At 50.1% G+C, this 20,717-nt stretch overlaps 1 protein-coding gene across 12 annotated transcripts in view, besides 8 other annotated features; it reads left to right on the top strand.

Annotated features, from left to right (window-relative positions):
• RANGAP1 (Ran GTPase activating protein 1) overlaps window positions 1-20,717 on the top strand; it is a 57,591-nt gene that overhangs the window by 5,988 nt on the left and 30,886 nt on the right. For 2 of the 12 annotated variants that reach the window (XM_005261695.2, XM_011530297.2), the window contains exons 1-2: window positions 10,195-10,838; window positions 15,300-15,449. In XM_005261695.2, coding sequence (XP_005261752.1) covers window positions 10,712-10,838; window positions 15,300-15,449 — 277 coding nt within the window. In that variant the 5' untranslated portion in view covers window positions 10,195-10,711. Of the gene's footprint in view, window positions 1-10,194; window positions 11,020-11,228; window positions 11,482-11,539; window positions 11,620-12,599; window positions 13,596-14,738; window positions 14,926-15,169; window positions 15,450-18,364; window positions 18,500-20,717 lie in introns of those variants that run through there. The other 10 variants (XM_017028893.3, NM_001278651.2, XM_006724289.5 and 7 more) reach the window with 10 other exon arrangements.
• Window positions 4,995-5,593: an enhancer, noted in NCBI's record as "H3K27ac hESC enhancer chr22:41686793-41687391 (GRCh37/hg19 assembly coordinates)". NCBI's record gives its function as "activates a minimal SCP1, AML or CMV promoter by ChIP-STARR-seq in naive and primed H9 embryonic stem cells {active_cell/tissue: H9 hESC(naive and primed)}" and the evidence as "EXISTENCE:reporter gene assay evidence [ECO:0000049][PMID:30033119]".
• Window positions 4,995-5,737: a biological region, named in NCBI's record as "Sharpr-MPRA regulatory region 14092".
• Window positions 5,443-5,737: an enhancer, noted in NCBI's record as "tiled region #14092; HepG2 Activating non-DNase unmatched - State 6:EnhF". NCBI's record gives its function as "activates a minimal TATA promoter and a strong SV40 promoter by Sharpr-MPRA in HepG2 cells {active_cell/tissue: HepG2}" and the evidence as "EXISTENCE:reporter gene assay evidence [ECO:0000049][PMID:27701403]".
• Window positions 6,193-6,792: an enhancer, noted in NCBI's record as "H3K27ac hESC enhancer chr22:41685594-41686193 (GRCh37/hg19 assembly coordinates)". NCBI's record gives its function as "activates a minimal SCP1, AML or CMV promoter by ChIP-STARR-seq in primed H9 embryonic stem cells {active_cell/tissue: H9 hESC(primed)}" and the evidence as "EXISTENCE:reporter gene assay evidence [ECO:0000049][PMID:30033119]".
• Window positions 9,303-9,352: an enhancer, noted in NCBI's record as "active region_19112". NCBI's record gives its function as "activates an Ori minimal core promoter by ATAC-STARR-seq in GM12878 lymphoblastoid cells {active_cell/tissue: GM12878}" and the evidence as "EXISTENCE:reporter gene assay evidence [ECO:0000049][PMID:35858748]".
• Window positions 9,673-9,742: an enhancer, noted in NCBI's record as "active region_19111". NCBI's record gives its function as "activates an Ori minimal core promoter by ATAC-STARR-seq in GM12878 lymphoblastoid cells {active_cell/tissue: GM12878}" and the evidence as "EXISTENCE:reporter gene assay evidence [ECO:0000049][PMID:35858748]".
• Window positions 9,773-9,992: an enhancer, noted in NCBI's record as "active region_19110". NCBI's record gives its function as "activates an Ori minimal core promoter by ATAC-STARR-seq in GM12878 lymphoblastoid cells {active_cell/tissue: GM12878}" and the evidence as "EXISTENCE:reporter gene assay evidence [ECO:0000049][PMID:35858748]".
• Window positions 10,423-10,492: an enhancer, noted in NCBI's record as "active region_19109". NCBI's record gives its function as "activates an Ori minimal core promoter by ATAC-STARR-seq in GM12878 lymphoblastoid cells {active_cell/tissue: GM12878}" and the evidence as "EXISTENCE:reporter gene assay evidence [ECO:0000049][PMID:35858748]".

Below are 20,717 nucleotides of genomic sequence, written 5' to 3'. Positions count from 1 at the left end.
AGCCACCTCACCCAGCCTTGTTTGTTTGTTTGTTTGTTTTTAAATTCATAATCAGTGTTTTTATTATTTTCGATGGTGGCTCATTTCTAAGTTAAGTGATGTATACTGTCTACATTTCCCATCTATAAGCTTTTGTTTTTCCTGGACTTTTGTTACCTAATTTTGATTTGCTTAGGTTATTATTTTTTTAATCTATGGCATGTCTTCCTATCACTATGTACAATGGCTTTCAGTAGAACTTTTTACATCTTCAAACTCATCAGATAACTGTGTTTTAATATCTTTTTCTGAGGACATTCCTCCCAAATCCCTCTGTTCTGCTCCACTTGGGGCTGATAGGTCCTTTTCTGTTTTGAGACAGGGTCTCACTCTGTTGCCCAGGCTTCAGTGTAGTGGCACGACCTTGGCTCACCGCAGCCTTGACCTCTGGGCTCAAGAGGTCCTCTGATTGTTCTTTATTCTTGTTGCACAGCTGTTGTTTGGGGACTTCCCTTTGCCATCATCCTGGGATTTCCCTTTACCTCCTTCCTGTGTGATCTCCGGTTTCCTAAAATCCCTGTCTTCCTCTCTGTTAGGTTATTCCCTGTTTTGGTCAGTACATCATCCAAGAGTTTCCTGACAAAAGAGATGGGAAGGTAATTTGTTTCTCCAGAAGTAGATTTTTCTTTCTTTTTTTTTTTTTTTTAATTGATCATTCTTGGGTGTTTCTCGCAGAGGGGGATTTGGCAGGGTCACAGGACAATAGTGGAGGGAAGGTCAGCAGATAAACAAGTGAACAAAGGTCTCTGGTTTTCCTAGGCAGAGGACCCTGCGGCCTTCCGCAGTGTTTGTGTCCCTGGGTACTTGAGATTAGGGAGTGGTGATGACTCTTAAGGAGCATGCTGCCTTCAAGCATCTGTTTAACAAAGCACATCTTGCACTGCCCTTAATCCATTCAGCCCTGAGTGGATACAGCACATGTTTCAGAGAGCACAGGGTTGGGGGTAAGGTCACAGATCAACAGGATCCCAAGGCAGAAGAATTTTTCTTAGTACAGAACAAAATGAAAAGTCTCCCATGTCTACCTCTTTCTACACAGACACGGCAACCATCCGATTTCTCAATCTTTTCCCCACCTTTCCCCCCTTTCTATTCCACAAAGCCGCCATTGTCATCCTGGCCTGTTCTCAATGAGCTGCTGGGCACACCTCCCAGACGGGGTGGTGGCCGGGCAGAGGGGCTCCTCACTTCCCAGTAGGGGCGGCCGGGCAGAGGCGCCCCTCACCTCCCGGACGGGGAGGCTGGCCGGGCGGGGGGCTGACCCCCCCACCTCCCTCCCGGATAGGGCGGCTGGCCGGGCGGGGGACTGACCCCCCCACCTCCCTCCTGGACGGGTTGGCTGGCCGGGCTGGGGGCTGATCCCCCACCTCCCTCCCAGATGGGGCGGCTGGCCGGGCGGGGGGCTGATCCCCCACCTCCCTCCCGGATGGGGCGGCTGGCCGGGCGGGGGGCTCACCCCCCCACCTCCCTCCCGGACGAGGTGGCTGCCGGGCGGAGACGCTCCTCACTTCCCAGACGGGGTGGCTGCTGGGCGGAGGGGCTCCTCACTTCTCAGACGGGGCGGCTGCCGGGCGGAGGGGCTCCTCACTTCTCAGATGGGGCGGCCGGGCAGAGACGCTCCTCACATCCCGGACGGGGTGGCAGGGCAGAGGTGCTCCCCACATCTCAGACGATGGGCGGCCGGGCAGAGATGCTCCTCACTTCCCAGATGGGATGGCGGCCGGGAAGAGGCGCTCCTCACTTCCTAGATGGGATGGCGGCTGGGCAGAGACGCTCCTCACTTTCCAGACTGGGCAGCCAGGCAGAGGGGCTCCTCACATCCCAGACGATGGGCGGCCAGGCAGAGAGGCTCCTCACTTCCCAGACGGGGTGGCGGCCGGGCAGAGGCTGCAATCTCGGCACTTTGGGAGGCCAAGGCAGGCTGCTGGGAGGTGGAGGTTGTAGCGAGCCGAGATCACGCCACTGCACTCCAGCCTTGGCACCATTGAGCACTGAGTGAACGAGACTCCGTCTGCAATCCCGGCACCTCGGGAGGCCGAGGCTGGTGCATCACTCGCGGTTAGGAGCTGGAGACCAGCCCGGCCAACACAGCGAAACCCCGTCTCCACCAAAAAAATACGAAAACCAGTCAGGCGTGGCGGCGCACGCCTTCAATCGCAGGCACTCGGCAGGCTGAGGCAGGAGAATCAGGCAGGGAGGTTGCAGTGAGCCGAGATGGCAGCAGTACCGTCCAGCTTCGGCTCGGCATCAGAGGGAGACCTTGGAAAGAGAGGGAGAGGGAGACCGTGGGGAGAGGGAGAGGGAGAAGGAGAGGGAGAGGAGTAGATTTTTCTAACTGCAGGATGGGCTGTTTGTTTGTTTTTAACGAAAAAGTTAGGTGGGCCAGGCACGGTGGCTCATGCCTATAATCCCGGCACTTTGGGAAGCTGAGGCAGGAGCATTGCTTGATCCCAGGAGTTTGAGACTAACTAGCCTGGGCAACATAGTGAGACCCCATATCCACCAAAAGAGAAAAAGGAATTTTTTTAAAAAACCAAGTATTTTAAAAATTATTTCTTTTCTTTTTTTTTTTTTTTTTTTTTGAGACAGAGTCTGGAGTGCAGTGGCGCGATCTCGGCTTACTGCAAGCTCTGCCTCCCGGGTTCTCGCCATTCTCCTGCCTCAGCCTCCCAAGTAGCTGGGACTACAGGCGCCCGCCACCACATTCAACTAATTTTTTTGTAGTTTTAGTAGAGATGGGGTTTCACCGTGTGAGCCAGGATGGTTTCGATCTCCTGACCTGTGATCCGCCCACCTCGGCCTCCCAAAGTGCTGGGATTACAGGCGTGAGGCACTGCACCCAGCCTAAAAATTATTTCTTAATGCTCTTTTGCATTTATACTAAACAGATTATTGACAGTTTTCATTTTATTTATTTATTTATTTACTTTTGAGACAGGTTCTCCCTCCGTTGCCTAGGCTGAAGCACAGTGGTGAGATCACAGCTCGCTTCAGCCTTCAACTCCTGGGCTCAAGCAATCCTACCCCGTCAGTCTCCTGAGTAGCTGGGATTACAGATGTGCATCACCGTGCTGGTTAACTTTTTGTATAATTTTTTTTTTTTTTTTTTGAGAGGAGTCTCCCTCTGTCACCCAGGCTGGAGTGCAGTGGCGCGATCTCGGCTCACTACAAGCTCTGCCTCCCGGGTTCACGCCATTCTCCTGCCTCAGCCTCCCAAGTAGCTGGGACTACAGGCGCCCGCCAACACGCCTGGCTAATTTTTTGTATTTTTAGTAGAGACGGGGTTTCACCATGTTAGCCAGGATGGTCTCAATCTCCTGACCTCGTGATCCGCCCGCCTCGGCCTCCCAAAGTGCTGGGATTACAGGCGTGAGCCACCGCGCCCGGCTAGACAATTTTTTTGTAGAGACAGAGTTTTGCTGTGTTGCCCAGGATGGTCTGGAACTCCTGGGCTCAAGCAATCCTCACACCTCAGCCTCCCAAGGTGTTGGGAATACAGGCGTGAGCCACTGTGCCCAGCTCAGTTTTCATTAAAAAAGAAAAAAAAAATTGTTTCCATTTTGGAACAAGAGGATTATTTATTTATTTATTTATTTTGAGACGGAGTCTCACTCTGTTGACCAGGCTGGAGCGCAATGGCATGATTTCGGCTCATGCAACCTCCGCCTCCCGGGTTCAAGCGATTCTCCTGTCTCAGCCTCCCGAGTAGCTGGGATTACAGGGGCCCAGCTACTTTTTGTATTTTTAGTAGAGACGGGGTTTCACCATGTTGGTCAGGCGGGTCTCAAAATCCTGAGCTCGTGATCCACCCACCTCGGCCTCCCAAAGTCCTGGGATTACAGGCATGAGACATTGCACCCGGCCACAAGAGGATTATTAAAAGAGAAGATGAAGGCCAGGTGCAGTGACTCACGCCTGTAATCCCAGCACTTTAGGAGGCAGAGGCGGGCAGATCATCTGAGGTTGGGAGTTTGAGATCAGCCTGGCCAACAGGGTGAAACCCCGATCTCTACTAAAAATACCAAAAATTAACCAGGCGTGGTGTTGGGCGCCTGTAATCCCAGCTACTCGGGAGGCTGAGGCAGGAGAATCTCTTGAACCAAGGAGGCAGAGGTTGCAGTGAGCCGAGATCGCACCATTACACTCCAGCCTAGGCAATGAGAGCGAAACTCCGTCTCAAAAAAAATGTTTTAATATTAAAAAATAAATTGAAAGTAAAATACAATGAAAATACAAAAATTAGCCAGGCATGGTGGCACGTGTCAGTAATCCCAGCTACTCAGGAGGCTGAAGCAGGAGACTCTCTTGGACCCAGGAGGCAGAGGTTCAAGAGAACCTCCTTTCAGGAAGCCGAGATTGCACCACTGCACCCCAGCCTGGGGGACAGAGTGAGACTCCACCAAAAAAAGAAAAAAGGAATTATTATTATTATTATTATTTTTGAGACAGAGTCTCGCTCTGTCGCCCAGGCTGGAGTGCAGTGGCGCGATCTCGGCTCACTGCAAGCTCCGCCTCCCAGGTTCACGCCATTCTCCTGCCTCAGCCTCCCGAGTAGCTGGGACTACAGATGCCCGCCATCACGCCCGGCTAATTTTTTTGTATTTTTTTAGTAGAGACGGGGTTTCACCGTGTTAGCCAGGATGGTCTCGATCTCCTGACCTCGTGATCCACCCGCCTCGGCCCCCCAAAGTGCTGGGATTACAGGCGTGAGCCACTGCGCCCGGCCTATTTTTTTTTTTTTTTTTTAAGATGGATCTCACTCTGTTGATCCGGCTGGAGTGCAGTGGCGTGATCTCGGCTCACTGCAACCTCCACCTCCTAGGTTCAAGTGATTCTCCTGCCTAGGCCTCCCAAGTAGCTGGGACCACAGGCACGTGCCACAGTGCCTGGCTAATTTTTTTGTATTTTTAGTAGAGACAGGGTTTCACCATATTGGTCAGGCTGGTCTTGAACTCCTGACCTCGTGATCTGCCCACCTCGGCCTCCCAAAGTGCTGGGATTACAGGCGGGAGCCACCGCACCCAGCCGATGAAGGAATTATTAAAAGAGAAGATAATCTGCCAGAAACCATTTGGTACCGGGAAATCCTCCATAAACATTAGAGCAGAATTTAAAACTCCTCCATAGACACCATCCTTTTCAATCTCTTTCATCACTGGATTTTTCAGGAGCTGGAACAGTGCCTATTGGAACATAGATGTTTGATAACTATTTGTAGAACAAATGAATTATTGTAATGATGGTTATTTATCAAGGTTAAATAGTTGCTCTAGTGGGATGCCCTTGGTTTGAGTCCTGAGAAAGATGTGGTTCGACTGTCCTTCATAGATGATGCAGCCAACCCACTCCCACCAGTGGAGGGGACCCTGGGGGAGGCTGCCTTGCCCTGCAGGTGGGCTGACCCATCTCTCTCCAGGGGCTGCAGGCGAGCACCCAGTTGGGTGTTGGGAATTTCCCTCCACATTCCTCACATGTCTGGCATACTTTAGCCATTTGTTTTTGATCTGACTAAATGGCAAGTCAGCAGCCTTGGTCTGTTTTCAGGAATCCAACATAAATATTATTATTTATTCCATTTACAATTGGCAATTAAGTTCGTTTTCAGGCACCAGAATGGAATTTAAAACACTCAGTTAAGTAAACCAGACTAATCAGAGGCAGCCTGCTTTTGTCTTTGAAACATTCTTTACAAAAACAACAAAAAAAGGCTGCACAACAGAGAAAGGCCTGGAACACTCTCTGCTTCTCCTGATTCCCCCTTAAACTCACCTCGCACTCACAAGTGAAGTGTATATGTTGAAAACAACCCTAGAAGGCCGGAAATGGTGGCTCACACCTGTAATCCCAGCACTTTGGGAAGCCAAGGTGGGTGGATCACCTGAGTCAGGAGTTTGAGACTAGCCTGGACAACACAGTGAAACCCCATCTCTACTAAAAATGCAAAAATAAGCTGGGCATGGTGGTGGGAACCTGTAATCCCAGCTACTCGGGAGTCTTAGGCAGGAGAATCGTTTGAACCCGGGAGGCAGAGGTTACAGTGAGCCTTGATTGTGCCATTGCACTCCAGCCTGGGTGACAGAGTGAGACTCCATCTCAAAAAAAAAAAAAAAAAAGTAATAATAATAATAGAAAAGGACCCTAGAGACCTGTCTTCTATTCTCTTTCTCTCTCTCTCTCTCTCTCTTTTTTTTTTTTCTTTGAGACAGGGTCTTGTTCTATCATTCAGGCTGGAGTGCAGTGGCCTGACCATGGCTCACTGCAACCAACCTCCACGTTCTGGGCTCAAGGATCCTCCTGCATCAGCCTCCCTAGTAGCTGGGACTCCAAGTATGTACCACCATGCCTGGCTAATTGTTTTTAGTAGAGACAGAGTCTCACTATATTGCCCAGACTGGTCTCAAATCCTGGGCTTTAGCAATCTTCCTGCCTTGGCCTCCCACAGTGCTGGCATTACAGTTGGTTGTGAGCCACCATGCTCAGCCTTGTCTCATGTGTAAGTCACACTGTAACTTGGGCCTTAGTTCTTCATTTGTTGAAATAAGGAACAAGATAGTCTTGGATGACACTATCCATCTGTCAAAGGCCATGATTACACTTCTTGGGCCAGGCAGACTAGCTCTCAGGTGATAACTTGAAAGAGAGAAAGCTGGAGAAAGGGCTGGAAGGAGAAAGAGAGAAGATAAGTGTGTTGCTTGGAAACAGTGATGATTCTTTTTTTTGAGGCAGAATTTTGCTCTTGTTGCCTAGGCTGGAGTGCAATGGCGTGATCTCAGCTCACTGCAACCTCCGCCTCTTGGGTTCAAGAGATTCTCCTGCCCCAGCCTCCCGAGTAGCTGGGATTACAGGTGTCTGCCACCATGCCCAGCTAATTTTTTGTATTTTTAGTAGAGACAGGGTTTCACCATGTTGGCCAGGCTGGTCTCGAATTCCTGACGTCAGATGATCCACCTGCCTCGCCCTCCCGAAGTGCTGGGATTACAGGCATGAGCCACTGTGCCCGGCCAGAAACAGTGATGATTCTTGATTCTTCTGATTCACTGGGCACCCTTGGGCAAACCCCCTGTTCCTTTTCAAACCCCAGTCTCCCCATTTGTAAAGAGGTTTAAGATAGATTCAGGAGGCCGGCCACAGTGGCTCACGCCTGTACTGTACTCCCAGCACTTTGGGAGGCCGAGGTAAGTGGATCACCAGGTCAGGAGTTTGAGACCATCCTGGCCAATATGGTGAAACCGTCTCTACTAAAAATACAAAAATTAGCCGGGCGTGGTGGCGTGCACCTGTAGTCCCAGCTACTCGGGAGGCTGAGGCAGAAGAATCACTTGAACCTGGGAGGCGGAGGTTGCAGTGAGCTGAGATCGCACCACTGCACTCCAGCCTGAGCAACAGAGTGAAACTCCATCTCAAAAAAAAAAAAAAAAAAAATCAGGATATAGGAGTGACAGAATCCAGATTGCTAGGGGGTGCTGTCAGGCTGAGTTTGTGATTTTTAGCTTCGAATGTGAACACCTTCAGGCAGAACATCCACTCTCTAACTCCCCCCAAGCCCCACCAAGCCCCGACAAGCCCCATGACTTCCTGTTACCTCCCAGGTCCTTGAAGGCCACTGAATTTCTGTTGTCTAAGAATTCCCTTCCAGTTCCGAAAACCCAATGTCCTATCAGCTGGATGAGGACGGGATCAGCTAAGATGTTCCCCTGCCCACCTTCCTCTTCCCTTTGGGAGGTCTCTGTGTGAGGGCCAAGGAAAGTCTCAAGAAGTAAAATTGGAAAAGGGAGCCTGCGGATCACCCCAAGGAAAATCCAGACTGATTCGATCAGTCCTAGCTGGAAGCAGCACAGGAATAGCAGGAAGCCTATGACTCATTTTAAGCAAACATCCGGTAACCCGACTGGTATCTGGTTCAAATGGGGAAACCTGAAGCACCTATGACAGGCCAGGCCCAGAGAAGATACTGCCCAGATGGATACAGCGTCTGCTCTGGAGACCCTCCCAGGCTGAGGAGGAAACTGCCAAGAACAGTGTTAACTCTGTCAAAGAGCCCCAGAGTCCCAGGCCAACTGCTGTGGGGCTTTGCATCTTGCTGTGGGCACCTGCAGGAGGGAGAGACTCATGAAGTAGCATTTGACATGGGCCTTGTAGGTAAAAAGGAGAGGGAAGGTGGAAAGAGGATCCACATCTCAGGAACTTTGAGAACTGGGAGAGTTACACTCTGTCTAGAGCTTCAGTTTTCTCATCTCTGTGCTGGGAAGGGTGGTAATGATGCCCACTTCCCTTGTGGTGGTGAAGATTAAATGAGCTGTGTGTAAAAGGATATGGCATGATCTGTTAATTAATTAATTAATTTATTTATTTATTTAGAGACGGAGTTTCGCTCTTGTTGCCCAGGCTGGAGTGCAATGGTGCGTCTCGGCTCACTGCAACCTCCGCCTCCCGGGTTCAAGCGATTCTTCTGCCTCAGCCTCCCGAGTAGCTGGGATTCCAGGCATGCGTCACCATGCCCAGCTAATTTTATATTTTTAGTAGAGACGGGGTTTCTCCATTTTGGTCAGGCTGGTCTCAAACTCCTGACCTCAGGTGATCCGCCCGCCTCGGCCTCCCAAAGTGCTGGGATTACAGGTGTGAGCCACTGCGCCCAGCCTGCATGATCTGTTTAACTTTTTTTTTTTTTCTTTTTTCAGTTTTTGAGACAAGGTCTTGCTCTGTCGCCAGGGCTGAAATGCAGTGGTGCAATCACGGCTCACTGCAGCCTCAAGCTCCCAGGCTCCAGATCCTCCTGCCTCAGGCCCTTAGCTGAGACTACAGGCTTGCACCATCACGTCCAACTAATTTTTGTATTTTTTGTCGAGACAGGGTTTGACCATGTTGCCCAGGCTGGTCTCACACTCTCTCGCCTATAATCCCAACACTTTGGGAGGCCAAGATGGGCAACAAGAGTGAAACTCCATCTCAAAAAAAAAAAACAAAAAAAAAACGCTGTTTGTGTTTTTATGCTTAAATTCACACCTACAGAAAAGTTGCAAAAATGTTCAAAGAACTCCCATATTCTTCAACCAGATTAACTGATTAACATTTTGCCACATTTGTGTCTCTGCTTTCTCTATGTATATGTATAGGTATATTTCTTTTAACCATAAAGGTTGCAGACATCATGTCCTTTTTGTCCCTAATTATTTCAGCATTTTTTTCCAAGAACAAGGGCAGTCTCTTACATAACCCTGTACCATAATCAAAATTAATAAATTTAACATTGATACAATACTATTATCTAATATAGTCAAGTTTTGCTGTTTCAGTATTGTCCTTTATAGCAATCCCCACCCAGGATCCGATCCAGGACCATGTCTTGCATTCAGTTGTCTTTTTCGTTTCCTGTAATCGGCAACAGTTCCTCAGTTTTTCTTTGTCTTACATAATACAGACATTTCCGGAAGGGTACAGATCAGTTATTCTGTACCATGTCCCTCAGCTTGGGTTTCTCATGATTAGACTAAGGTCATGCATTATAGACCGGACGGTGACGCCGTGTTTTTCTCAGTGCATCACACAGAAAGCGTGCGATGAATGTCAGCTTGTCCTGCTGTTGATGTTAACGTGGCCGTTCAAGTGGTGTCTGCGGAGCTTCTCTACGATAGTTACTATTTCCCCTTTTTAATTATCAGGTAATTTGTGCATATTTATGTGGAAGCCTTCGAATGCCCTTTCAGTTTCATGGGACGGAAAAGAGTCTTTTCTTTCGGGAAATGGATACCTGTGTCTTGCCCAAGAGACCCAGCAGCCAGCAGTACCTGTTATCAACAAAGTTACGCGAACAAAACCTTTCCGGAAGAGCTGAGGGACCTGGGTGCAACGCATTCTGGGAATTGTAGTCTCTGGGCGCTCCCGGCTGAACACCTCCCTGCGGTCTCTGCGAGAAAGAGCCAGAAGCCACCAGGGGAGGGCGAAGAGGAGGGCGGTGGAGGACGCTCTGCGCGCGGTGCGCCATGGGACGGGTAGTTCGCGGTGCGCGCCCCATCGCGCTCCCAGATGGGGAACCGGACTACTCTACCCGAGAGGCCGCGCGAGCGGGGCGAGGGCAAGCCGGCCGGGGCCTCGAACAAATCAAATCGAAGCAAAGAAACTGCCGGCTTTCAAAATCCTCCTCCTCCGCCATCATCCGCCGCGGTGCGGAGAGCAGGTGGTGCTGGAAGCGCGTGAGGCCGGGAGCTCGAGAGAGCTAACAGACTAGCCGGCTGGACATCTGGACCGCTGGATCCGGAGGTGGCGACCCCGGCCTGACCCGGACCCTAAATCCGTCCCCGCCCCAGAGGGCGGAGGCGCGCGCTCGATTCCCCCCACGCGGCGGCGCCGCCTGTTTACGGTAGAGTCAGGGTCCCTTTCCTTTCCCCGTCACCTGCCTGGAACAGGGGTGCGGGGCGAGGAGGGCGTGGCGCCCGTGTGCGCCTTCTGCCTGCCCCCTCGGCCTTCTTCACTTAGCCTTCGACGGCCGAGCGCCCCAGGGGTGGCGGTGGGAGTGGGGTTGTTGAGCGGCGCTGGCTCCTTTCACAAATGGGGAAACTGAGGCTTAAAGGGCGTCTGACTCGCCAGAGCAGCTCAGCCTGCAGCTGCTAGCAGTGGCGTCTCATATTAGCATTGTTGTCAACCGGAGGCGGTGCGAGTCCGCCGGGGATTCCAGATGGGGCTCCTGCGCCGCCCGCCTATCATTTGCGGCCTGTATTCGCGCGTCGCTCCCGCAGAGCCACCTCCCAGCAGGCCCACGCCCGCGGGGGCCCCGGGCTGGCGCCGCTGTCCCTGGAATCGATGTGAGTCACTGCTGACGCTTTGCAGGAGCATGCATCTCACCTCAGAAAGTCTCTGACGTTGCTGCGGAGCGGGGAGAGGATGTTTCTCTATTAGCCCTTTGCTTTTGCTCTGGCGCTGATCCTTTGCTGACCTTGGACAAATCAATTTACGTTTCTGTGCTCCAGTTTCTTGGTTTATAAAGTGAGTGTGGAGGGGTGCATCTCTGTCTCGCTCTCTCTTGGACTGAGGAATGGGCCCCCGTTCAGCTGAGAAGTTCTGTCCCTATTCTATCTGGAGGCTTCACCACCACCTTTTACCCTCAAATTGTCCCATCTCAGAACTGCAAGAGATGCTGGGGTTTCAGGTTAATTTTTTTGTTGGTTTTTCTTTAAATTTTTTTATCTTTTTAGAGACGGTCTCCTTCTGTCACCCAGGCTGGAGTGTAGTGGAACGATCACCGCTGAACTGCAGCGTCGGCTTCCTGGGCTCAAGCGATCCTCCCACCTCAACCTCCCAAGTCATGGGGACTACAGATGCCATCACACCTGGCTAATTTTTAAATTTTTCTGTGGAGACAGGGTCTCATTCTGTTGCCCAGGCTTGTCTCGAACCCTGGTCTAAAGTGATCTTCCCGCCTAGCCTCCCAAAATGTTGGAATTACAGGTGTGAGTTATTGCACTGGGCTGGTTTCTGGTTAATTTATTTTTTGAAACAGGGTCTCCAGAAGTACAGCAGCAAGATCTCAGCTCACTGTAGCCTCCACCTACGGGGCTCAAGTGATCCTCCCACCTTACATCCCAGGTAGCTGGGACTGCAGGCACCTGCCACCACACCCAGCTAGTTTTTGTATTTTTAGTGGAGACAGGGTTTCGGCATACTGCCCAGGCTGGTTTCTAACTCCTGTGCTCAATCGATCCGCCCACCTCAGCCTCCGGAAATGCTGGGATTGCAGGAGTGAACCATTACACCCGACTCTGGTTAATTTTTTTTTTTTTTGAGACGGAGTTTCACTCTTGTTGCCCACGTTGGAGTGCAATGCCACGATCTCAGCTCACCCCAACATCTGCCTCCCAGATTCAAGCGATTCTCCTGCCTCAGCCTCCTGAGTAGCTGGGATTACAGGCATGTGCCACCACGCCCGGTTAATTTTGTATTTTTGGTAGAGACAGGGTTTCTCCATGTTGGCCAGGGTGGTCTCGAACTCCCGACCTCAGGTAATCCACCCACCTCAGCCTCCCAAAGTGCTGAGATTATAGGCGTGAGCTACCGCACCCGGCCTGGTTAATTTTTATTTTATTTTATTTTATTTTATTTTTTTGAGGTGAGTCTCGCTCTGTTGCCCAGGCTGGAGTGCAGTGGCGCAATCTCAGCTCACTGCAAGCTCCACCTACCGGGTTCATGCCATTCTCTTGCCTCAGCCTCCCGAGTAGCTGGGACTACAGGCCCCCGCCACCAGGCCCGGCTAATTTTTTGTATTTTTAGTGGAGACGGGTTTCACCGTGTTAGCCAGGATGGTCTCGATCTCCTGACCTCGTGATCCGCCCACCTCAGCCTCCCAAAGTACTAGGATTATAGGTGTGAGCCTTTGCGCCCGGCCCTGGCCTGGTTAATTTTTATGCAATTTCAACTGGTCGTTTCTTGAGCACCTTCTAAATGCCAGGCTCTATGTGGCAAGTAGAGTGATCCTGTCAAAATGTACGTCAGATGACATCTGCTTTCTGCTAAAAACTTCAGTGGTTTTCCTTGTCACTTATAGCGAAAGCCACTGTTCTTCAAATGGGCTTTATGACTTGGGCCCCTTGTTAACTGTCTCTTCTCTTACCTTGTTTTTTTCCTCTCTCTCTGTGCTTCAGCCCCACTGGCCCTGTTGCAGTTTCTCCAACCCTCTGCCCCTACAAGAGCCATTGCATTTGCTATTCCCTTTGCAGGAATCATGTTCCCCCAGATGTGTGCATGGCCCAATCCCTGATATCTTTATTTAACTATTTCCTAATAATGCCTTTTTGTTGTTGTTGTTAATGCCTTTTTGTTGTTGTTGTTGTTATTTGTTTGTTTTGAGTTGGAGTCTTGCTCTGTCGCCAGGCTGGAATGCAATGGCGCGATCTTGGCTCACTGCAACCTCCGCCTCCCGGGTTCAAGCAATTCTCCTGCCTCAACCTCCCGAGTAGCTGGGACTAAAGGCGTGTGCCACCACGCCCAGCTAATTTTTGTATTTTTAGTAGAGACGGGGTTTCACCATGTTGGCCTGGCTGGTCTTGAACTCCTGACCTCGTGATCCACCTGCCTCGGTCTCCCAAAGTGCTGAGATTACAGCCGTGAACCACCACTCCCGGCCCCCCAACCCCCCCCTTTTTTTTTTAAATCACATACTAAATGTGTCATTTAGAACATATGCTTCAAGAGGTCAGGGTTTATGCTTCCTTTACTGCTATACTGCTGACCTGGAACAACATCCAGCACACAGTAGTAATCAATGTGTTTTTGAATGAATGAGTGGACACCTTACCCAGGATAATAATTCATGCTTATTGATAAAGGCAGACAAACCAGGGTTATAAGTTAGAACCCAGAGGAAGCCTAGGGGTGGGAGGATTCAGGGTATCACAACTGTATCTGAGAATGAGGAGGTTGTAGGAGGAGGCCTTTCGGATAGCACCCCCTAGTTCTGCCCCTCATATCTGCTTCCTTGGTCTCTCCTGATTACTTGCTGTTTCTTTTCTTTTTTTGGAGCATCTCACAGATACGTTTATTCATACCACAAAGTAAACACTATTCAGGTATGTAGTGATGTTCCACGTTCCTGTCTAATATAGCTGGCTTCAATTTATAGGCAGTACACATTGAGACATTTAATCTCACATGTACTCCAAGTAAAGCTGGAGTACCATGAGCAGGCGCAGGAGTTCTCAAAGCTTTACTTGTTTTAAAAATTTTCATTTATTGGCCAAGCGTGGTGGCTCATGCGTGTAATCCCAGCACTTTGGGAGGCTGAGGCGAGTGGATCACGAGGTCAGGAGATCGAGACCATCCTGGCTAACACACGGTGAAACCCTGTCTCTACTAAAAATACAAAAAAATTAGCTGGACATGGTGGTGGGTGCCTGTAATCCCAGCTACTCAGGAGGCTGAGGCAGGAGAATGACATGAACCTTGGAGGCGGAGCTTGCAGTGAGCCCAGATGGCGCCACTGTGCTCCAGCCTGGGCGACTGAGCGAGACTCCGTCTCAAAAAAAAAAAATTCTTTCATTTATTTAGTTACTTTTAGAGATAGAGCCTCCCGCTGTTGCCCAGGCTGGAGTGCAGTGGCAGTCATAGCTTACTGCAGCTTTGAACTCCTGGGCTCAAATGATCCTCCTGCCTCAGCCTCTCCAGTAGCTGGGACTGACTACAGGCACGTGCCACCACACCCAGCTAATTTTTATTTTTATTTTTATTTTTTTGAGACAGGGTTTTACTCTGTCACCCAGGCTAGAGTGCAGTGGTGAGATCATGGCTCACTGTAGCCTCTGTCTCCGGGGCTCAATCAATCCTCCCACCTCAGCCTCCCCAGTGGCTGGGATTACTGGTGCACACCACCATACCCTGCTAATTGTATTTATTTTTAGTAGAGATGGGATTTTGCCATGTTGCCCAGACTGGTCTTGAGCTGCTGGGCTCAAGCGATCTTCCCATCACAGCTTCCCAATGTGCTGGGATTACAGGTGTGAGCCACTGTACCTGGCCAGCTTTACTTCTTTTACCAGCACTCCTGATTTTATAAATAGTGAGGCTTATCAACCCCATTTCTACCCAAATCTTCTGGTAGACTTGAGTATAGTAGGGCTTCATAGGTAGCAGCCCTGTCCCTGTCCTATTATGATGGTAGCTGTTGTGATGTGGCGATCTCTGATCTAGAAACCCCTGAGGGGCCATTGTGGCCTGCCCAGTCTCCCGGCCACGGTTGAAACCAGACGTGCAGTGGGGCTGACCCCTGTGCCCCACCCCAGAGTCATGCCAGCGTGGGTGGTGGGGCATTCTCTGGGATGAATGATCTGGATCCCATAGCCATCTGTGTCCTGTTTGAGGAATGGGACCCTCAAACAGAGAACAGCCAAGATGCTCAAGCAGGTGTGTGCTTGGGCCAGACTCTGCAGCCTTTGGTTTGGGACTTGACTGCCATTCACTGAAGGGGCCCAGGAAATGGGCAGCTCACATGGTGTTGCTGGGTGTCCAGCTGCGGCAGTTTAGCAGAGGAGGACTTGTAATGAGATGGTAGCTTCTTATAGGCTAAGACATGATTTTTCTGTTCTTTTACTACCTCCTGCACCTTCTAGAACTGTTCCTTCTCTGATGCTGTTTTCCTTTCTTCCAGTGATTTATCTCTAGGGTCTCCATAGCAGGGGAGGTAGGGTCAGACTCCTGAGATGGCTGATGTCCTACCCTGCCCCCAACCAGGGGCCCCAGGAGACTCCTTTTTCTTACTGCAACTTTGGCCTCCTCAGTCTGCAGATCTCCAGGGGAGCCCACCAGCCTAGTCAACATGGCCTCGGAAGACATTGCCAAGCTGGCAGAGACACTTGCCAAGACTCAGGTGGCCGGGGGACAGCTGAGTTTCAAAGGCAAGAGCCTCAAACTCAACACTGCAGAAGATGGTGAGTTTCTGGAAGTTGTGCACTGGTGTGTCCAGGGGAGGAGAGGGAGTGTACTGAACTCTTACTGGTTGTCAGGCTCTTTCTGCTACATTGTCTCCATTATTTGTCCCAGCAGCTCTGTGAGGTATCATTGGGCCTATTCTAACAATGAGGCTCAGAGATCATTTGCCCAGGAGCAAGCTCCCCTGCACTTTCCATGTTTGTATTGGGCATCCCTTTGTGCCCTGCCCTTTCTTTCTCAGGAGGGGATGATAGGTAATGAGGGGCCACAGTTAGTGCCAGTCCCAAGATACAGCCTCTGACTCTGACTTAATATCCGGTGTTGTCCCCACCCTTGCCCTTAACCCCCATGATCCCAGGCAGGCCTGGGAATAGCTGCAGCTTTCCCCAGAGCTGAGGCTCTGGTGGAGCTGCATTAAAACAACCTGGGCCCTCTTGGGAGATGCTGGTTCATGCAACCAGATGTACCTGGGAGAGGGATGGCTGTCTGTGTGTATACAGGTATTGCAACCACAGAAAACTAGGAACCAGAGAGCAGACCCTGTCTTTTCATCCCTTGTCAAGGCTTGGCTGCCACTGACCAACCCTGAATCACCTGGCACCTGCAAGTGAAGGCACCTGCATCAAGTGAGGCCTCCTGGGATTCTGGCCCAACCAGGGGAACTGGTCTGGACATGCCTGGTTGTCATGTTGTGTAGGCAGCCTTGTTCTCCTCTCCAGGTCGGAGGCTGCTTGAGTCCTTGGGTAGCTGGGAGCGTGCTGATGCATGTTCCTAACATCTCCATAAGGTCTAACGTTTATAGACTTCCTCCCTGTGCATTTATCACTTTTTTTTTTTGAGATGGAGTCTCTGTCACCCAGGCTAGAGTGCAGTGGCACGATCTCAGCTCACTGCAAACCTCTGCCTCACGGGTTCGAGCAGTTCTCCTGCCTCAGCCTCCTGAGTAGCTGGGATTACAGGCGCCCACCACCACACCCGGCTAATTTTTGTATTTTTAGTAGAGATAGGGTTTTGCCATATTGGTCAGGATGCTCTCGAACTCCTCATCTCAGGTGATCTGCCCACCTTGGCCTCCCAAAGTGTTCGGATTACAGGCGTGAGCCACTGTGCCCGGCTTTTTTTTTTTTTTTTGAGATGAGTCTCACTCTGCCACCCAGGCTGGAGTGTAGTGGTGCGATGTTGGCTCATTGCAACTTCTGTCTCCCAGGTTCAAGCGATTCTCCTGCCTCAGCCTCCCAAATAGCTGGGACTGCAGGCTCACACCATCACGCCTGGCTAATTTTTTTTTTTGAGACATAGTCTTGCTCTGTTGCCCAGGCTGGAGTGTGGTGGTGCAATCTCAGCTCACTTTAACCTCTGCCTGGGTTCAGGCAATTCTCATGCCTCAGCCTCCTGGGTAGCTGGGACTACAGGTGTGTACAACCATGCCCAGCTAATTTTCTTTTCTTTTTGTTTTTTTTTTGAGATGGAGTCGTGCTCTGTCACCCAGGCTGGAGTGCAGTGGTGCAATCTCGGCTCACTGTAAGCTCTGCCTCCCTGGTTCACGCCATTCTCCTGCCTCAGCCTCCTGAGTAGCTAGGACTATAAGCACCCACCACCATGCTCCGCTAATTTTTTGTATTTTAGTAGGGATGGGGTTTTACCATGTTGGACAGGCTGGTCTAGAACTCCTGACCTCAGGTGATTCGCCCGCCTCAGCCCCCAAAGTACTGGGATAACAGGCGTGAGCCACTGTGTCTGGCCTTCAGCCTATTTTTGTGTTTGTATTTTTATTATTATTATTTTTTTTGAGACGGAGTCTCGCTCTGTTACCCAGGCTGGAGTGCACTGGCATGATGTTGGCTCACTGCAGGCTCCGCCTCCTGGGTTCATGTCATTCTCCCACCTCATCCTCCTGAGTAGCTGGGACTACAGGCGCCCGCCACCACGCCCGGCTAATTTTTTTGTATTTTTAGTAGAGACGGGGTTTCACCGTGTTAGTTAGCCAAGATGGTCTCGATCTCCTGACCTCATGATCCTCTCACCTCGGCCTCCCAAAGTGTTGGGATTACAGGCGTGAGCCACCGTGCCCGGCCCCTTATTTTTGTATTTTTAGTAGAGACGGGGTTTTGCCATGTTGGCCAGGCTGGTTTTGAATTCTTGACCTCAGGTGATCCGCCCACTTTGACCTCGTTTATCACTTTTGATGCTTGCGTCACCCTTGTGGGAGATAGATTGGAATGTTGCTGTTTTATAAATGAGAAAAAGGAATTTAGGAGACTTTAAGTAACTTGACCAAGGTCACACATTTGATAAATAGCAGAGCTAGGATTTTCACAGAGGTTCAGTGAAATCCCTATTCCTGTGCTTCTAATTAGACATTGAGCTCCGTTTAGGAAACAGAGATTTGATGGCAAATGCCATTTATTGAACACCGTGTCAGATAAGGGTATTAAGTGCCAGATAAATAGTATCTCAGTTTATCTTCACAAAATCCTTTGAGATAGATTGCATTTCCATTTTGCAGATTGGAAAACTGAGGTTTAGGGAGGTGGTATGACATGCCTAAGGGCACAGCTTTAATGAGTAGAGCTGGGATTAGAACTCAAGTTTGGGCCAGGTGCGGTGGCTCACGCCTGTAATCCCAGCACTTTGGGAGGCCGAGGTGGGCAGATCACCTGAGGTCAGGAATTCCAGACCAGCCTGGCCAACATGGAGAAACCCTGTCTTTACTACAAATACAAAAATTAGCCGGGCGTGGTGGTGGACACCTGTAATCCCAGCTACTCTCCGGAGGCTGAGGCAGGAGAATCGCTTGAACCCGGGAGGCGGAGGTTGCAGTGAGCCGAGATGGCACCACTGTACTCCAGCCTCGGTGACAGAACGAGACTATCTCAAAAAAAAAAAAAAAAAACTCAAGTTTGGCTGGCTCTGAAATCCATCCAGTTAACTTCTTTACTCTCCCAGCACAGGCTGAATGTGGTGTCTCCCATTTTGTAAGTCCCCAGGGGTGCCCAGCTTACCCAGCTCCTAAGAAGCAGCAAATCTGGAATAGGAATGATATACCCAGGTAACTAAGTGAAGGCAAAATGTGAATATACTCTATGAAAACAAGTGAAAAGGCTCTGGGAAGTAAGGCAGGGAGAGGTCTCACTTTTACTTTAAGAGCACCCAGGAAGTCTTTTCATCCCTTGCCAAGGCTTGGCTGGCACTGACCAACCCTGAATCCCCTGGCATCTGGAAGTGAAGGTACCCGCATCAGTGAGCCATCCTTGGGTTCTGGCCCAACCAGGGAAACTTGGACCCACCTTGGACAACTTCTTAGGGAGCCCCTGCTAGGTTATAAGTCCTTTCTCAAGACCCTTCTTGACCAGAAGGTCAAGTTCAAACTTTATCTCCCATACCCATCTCTATCTCTTCCCTCCCACATGTCACCCTACTCCATCCTGTACCAGCCAGACTCAACTTTTTGTTTCATGTAAGTTTTGGTTTTGTTCAGATTATACAATTAATGCAGGTTTATTATAGAATACAGAAACATTCAAAGAACAGGGAAAAAATATATCCTCACTTTCGGCCGGGCGCGGTGGCTCACGCCTGTAATCCCAGCAGTTTGGGAGGCCGAGGCGGGCGGATCACGAGGTCAGGAGATCGAGACCATCCTGGCTAAAACGGTGAAACCCCGTCTCTACTAAAAACTACAAAAAATTAGCCGGGCGTAGTGGCGGGCGCCTGTAGTCCCAGCTACTTGGGAGGCTGAGGCAGGAGAATGGCGTGAACCCGGGAGGCGGAGCTTGCAGTGAGCCGAGATCCCGCCACTGCACTCCAGCCTGGGCAACAGAGCGAGACTCCGTCTCAAAAAAAAAAAAAAAAAAAAAAAATCCTCACTTTCATATAACCCCAGGGATATAACTACTATTACTTTCAGGGCATTTTATTTCTAACACAGTCTTTTTTTTTTTTTTTCTGAGAAACAGTCTCGCTCTGTAGCCCAGGCTGGAGTGCAGTGGCAAGATCTCGCTCACTGCTACCTCCGCCTCCTGGGTCCCAGTTCAAGCAATTATGCCTCAGCCTTCCGAGCAGCTGGGATTACAGGCATGCGCTACCATGCCCAACTAATTTTTGTATTTTTAGTAGAGACGGGGTTTACCATGTTGGCCAGGCTGTTCTTGAACTCCTGAACTCCTGACCTCACGATCCGCCCGCCTTGGCCTCCCAAAGTGCTGGGATTACAGGCGTGAGCCACCGCGCCCAGCCTAGTCTTTTTTTTTTTCCTGAACATAGCTGAGTTCATTTTGTTTTGTTTGTTTTTTGAAACGGAGTTTCGCTCTTGTTGCCCAGGGATTAGTGCAATGCCACGATCTCGGCTCACTGCAACCTCTGCCTCCCAGGTTCAAGCAATTCTCCTGTCTCAGCCTCCCTAATAGCTGGGATTACAGGCATCCACCACCACACCCGGCTAATTTTTGTATTTTTAGTTAGAGACAGGGTTTCATCATATTGGACAGGCTGGTCTCAAACTCTTGACCTCAGGTGATCCTCAGGCCTCAGCCTCCCAAAGTGCTGGGATTACAGGTGTGAGCCACTACTCCCAGCCCATTTTGTTTTTAATTGGGATTATATTATAGATCTTTTAAAAGCTGCTATATAACCTGATATATTGAGAACATTTTACTTCAAATAGTTAAAAACACACAATCACCCATTATCCTACCAGCTAGAGAGAACTGCTATAGCATTTGGTTTCTATGTTTCTAGACCTTGTTTTATGCACATGTGTGCATGTGTGTTTGTGTGTGAATACATATGTTTTTAAAGAGTGATCAGCCCAAATGCTTGAGTAACCTAATTTTTCACTTATTGCTATAACAGATTTTTCCAAGTCAGAAACACCTGTGTCATCTTTCATAGCAGTGCTGGTATAACTATTTGTGTAACGTGCCACAGTGAACCTCTGTCCTCCTCTCTGTCTTCCTGTCTCTCTTTTTTTGTTTGTTTTGTTTTGAGAAGGCAGGGTCTTGCTCTGTCCCCCTGGCTGGAGTGCTATGGCATGATCATGGCTCATTGCAGCCTCAACTTCTCAGGCTCAGCTGATCCTCCCAGCTCAGCCTCCCAAGTAGCTGAGACTACAGGTGCACGCCACCACACCAGCCTAATTTTTTTTTTTTTTTCTTGAGACAGAGTCTCACTGTGTCGCCCAGGCTAGAGTGTAGTGGTGTGATCTCGGCTCACTACAACTTCCGCCTCCCAGGTTCAGGTGATTCTCCTGCCTCAGCTTCCTGAGTAGC

Source organism: Homo sapiens, chromosome 22 (genome assembly GCF_000001405.40).
Source record: "Homo sapiens chromosome 22, GRCh38.p14 Primary Assembly".
Lineage (NCBI taxonomy): Eukaryota > Metazoa > Chordata > Mammalia > Primates > Hominidae > Homo > Homo sapiens.
This window is presented reverse-complemented; position numbering and strand designations above follow the sequence as displayed.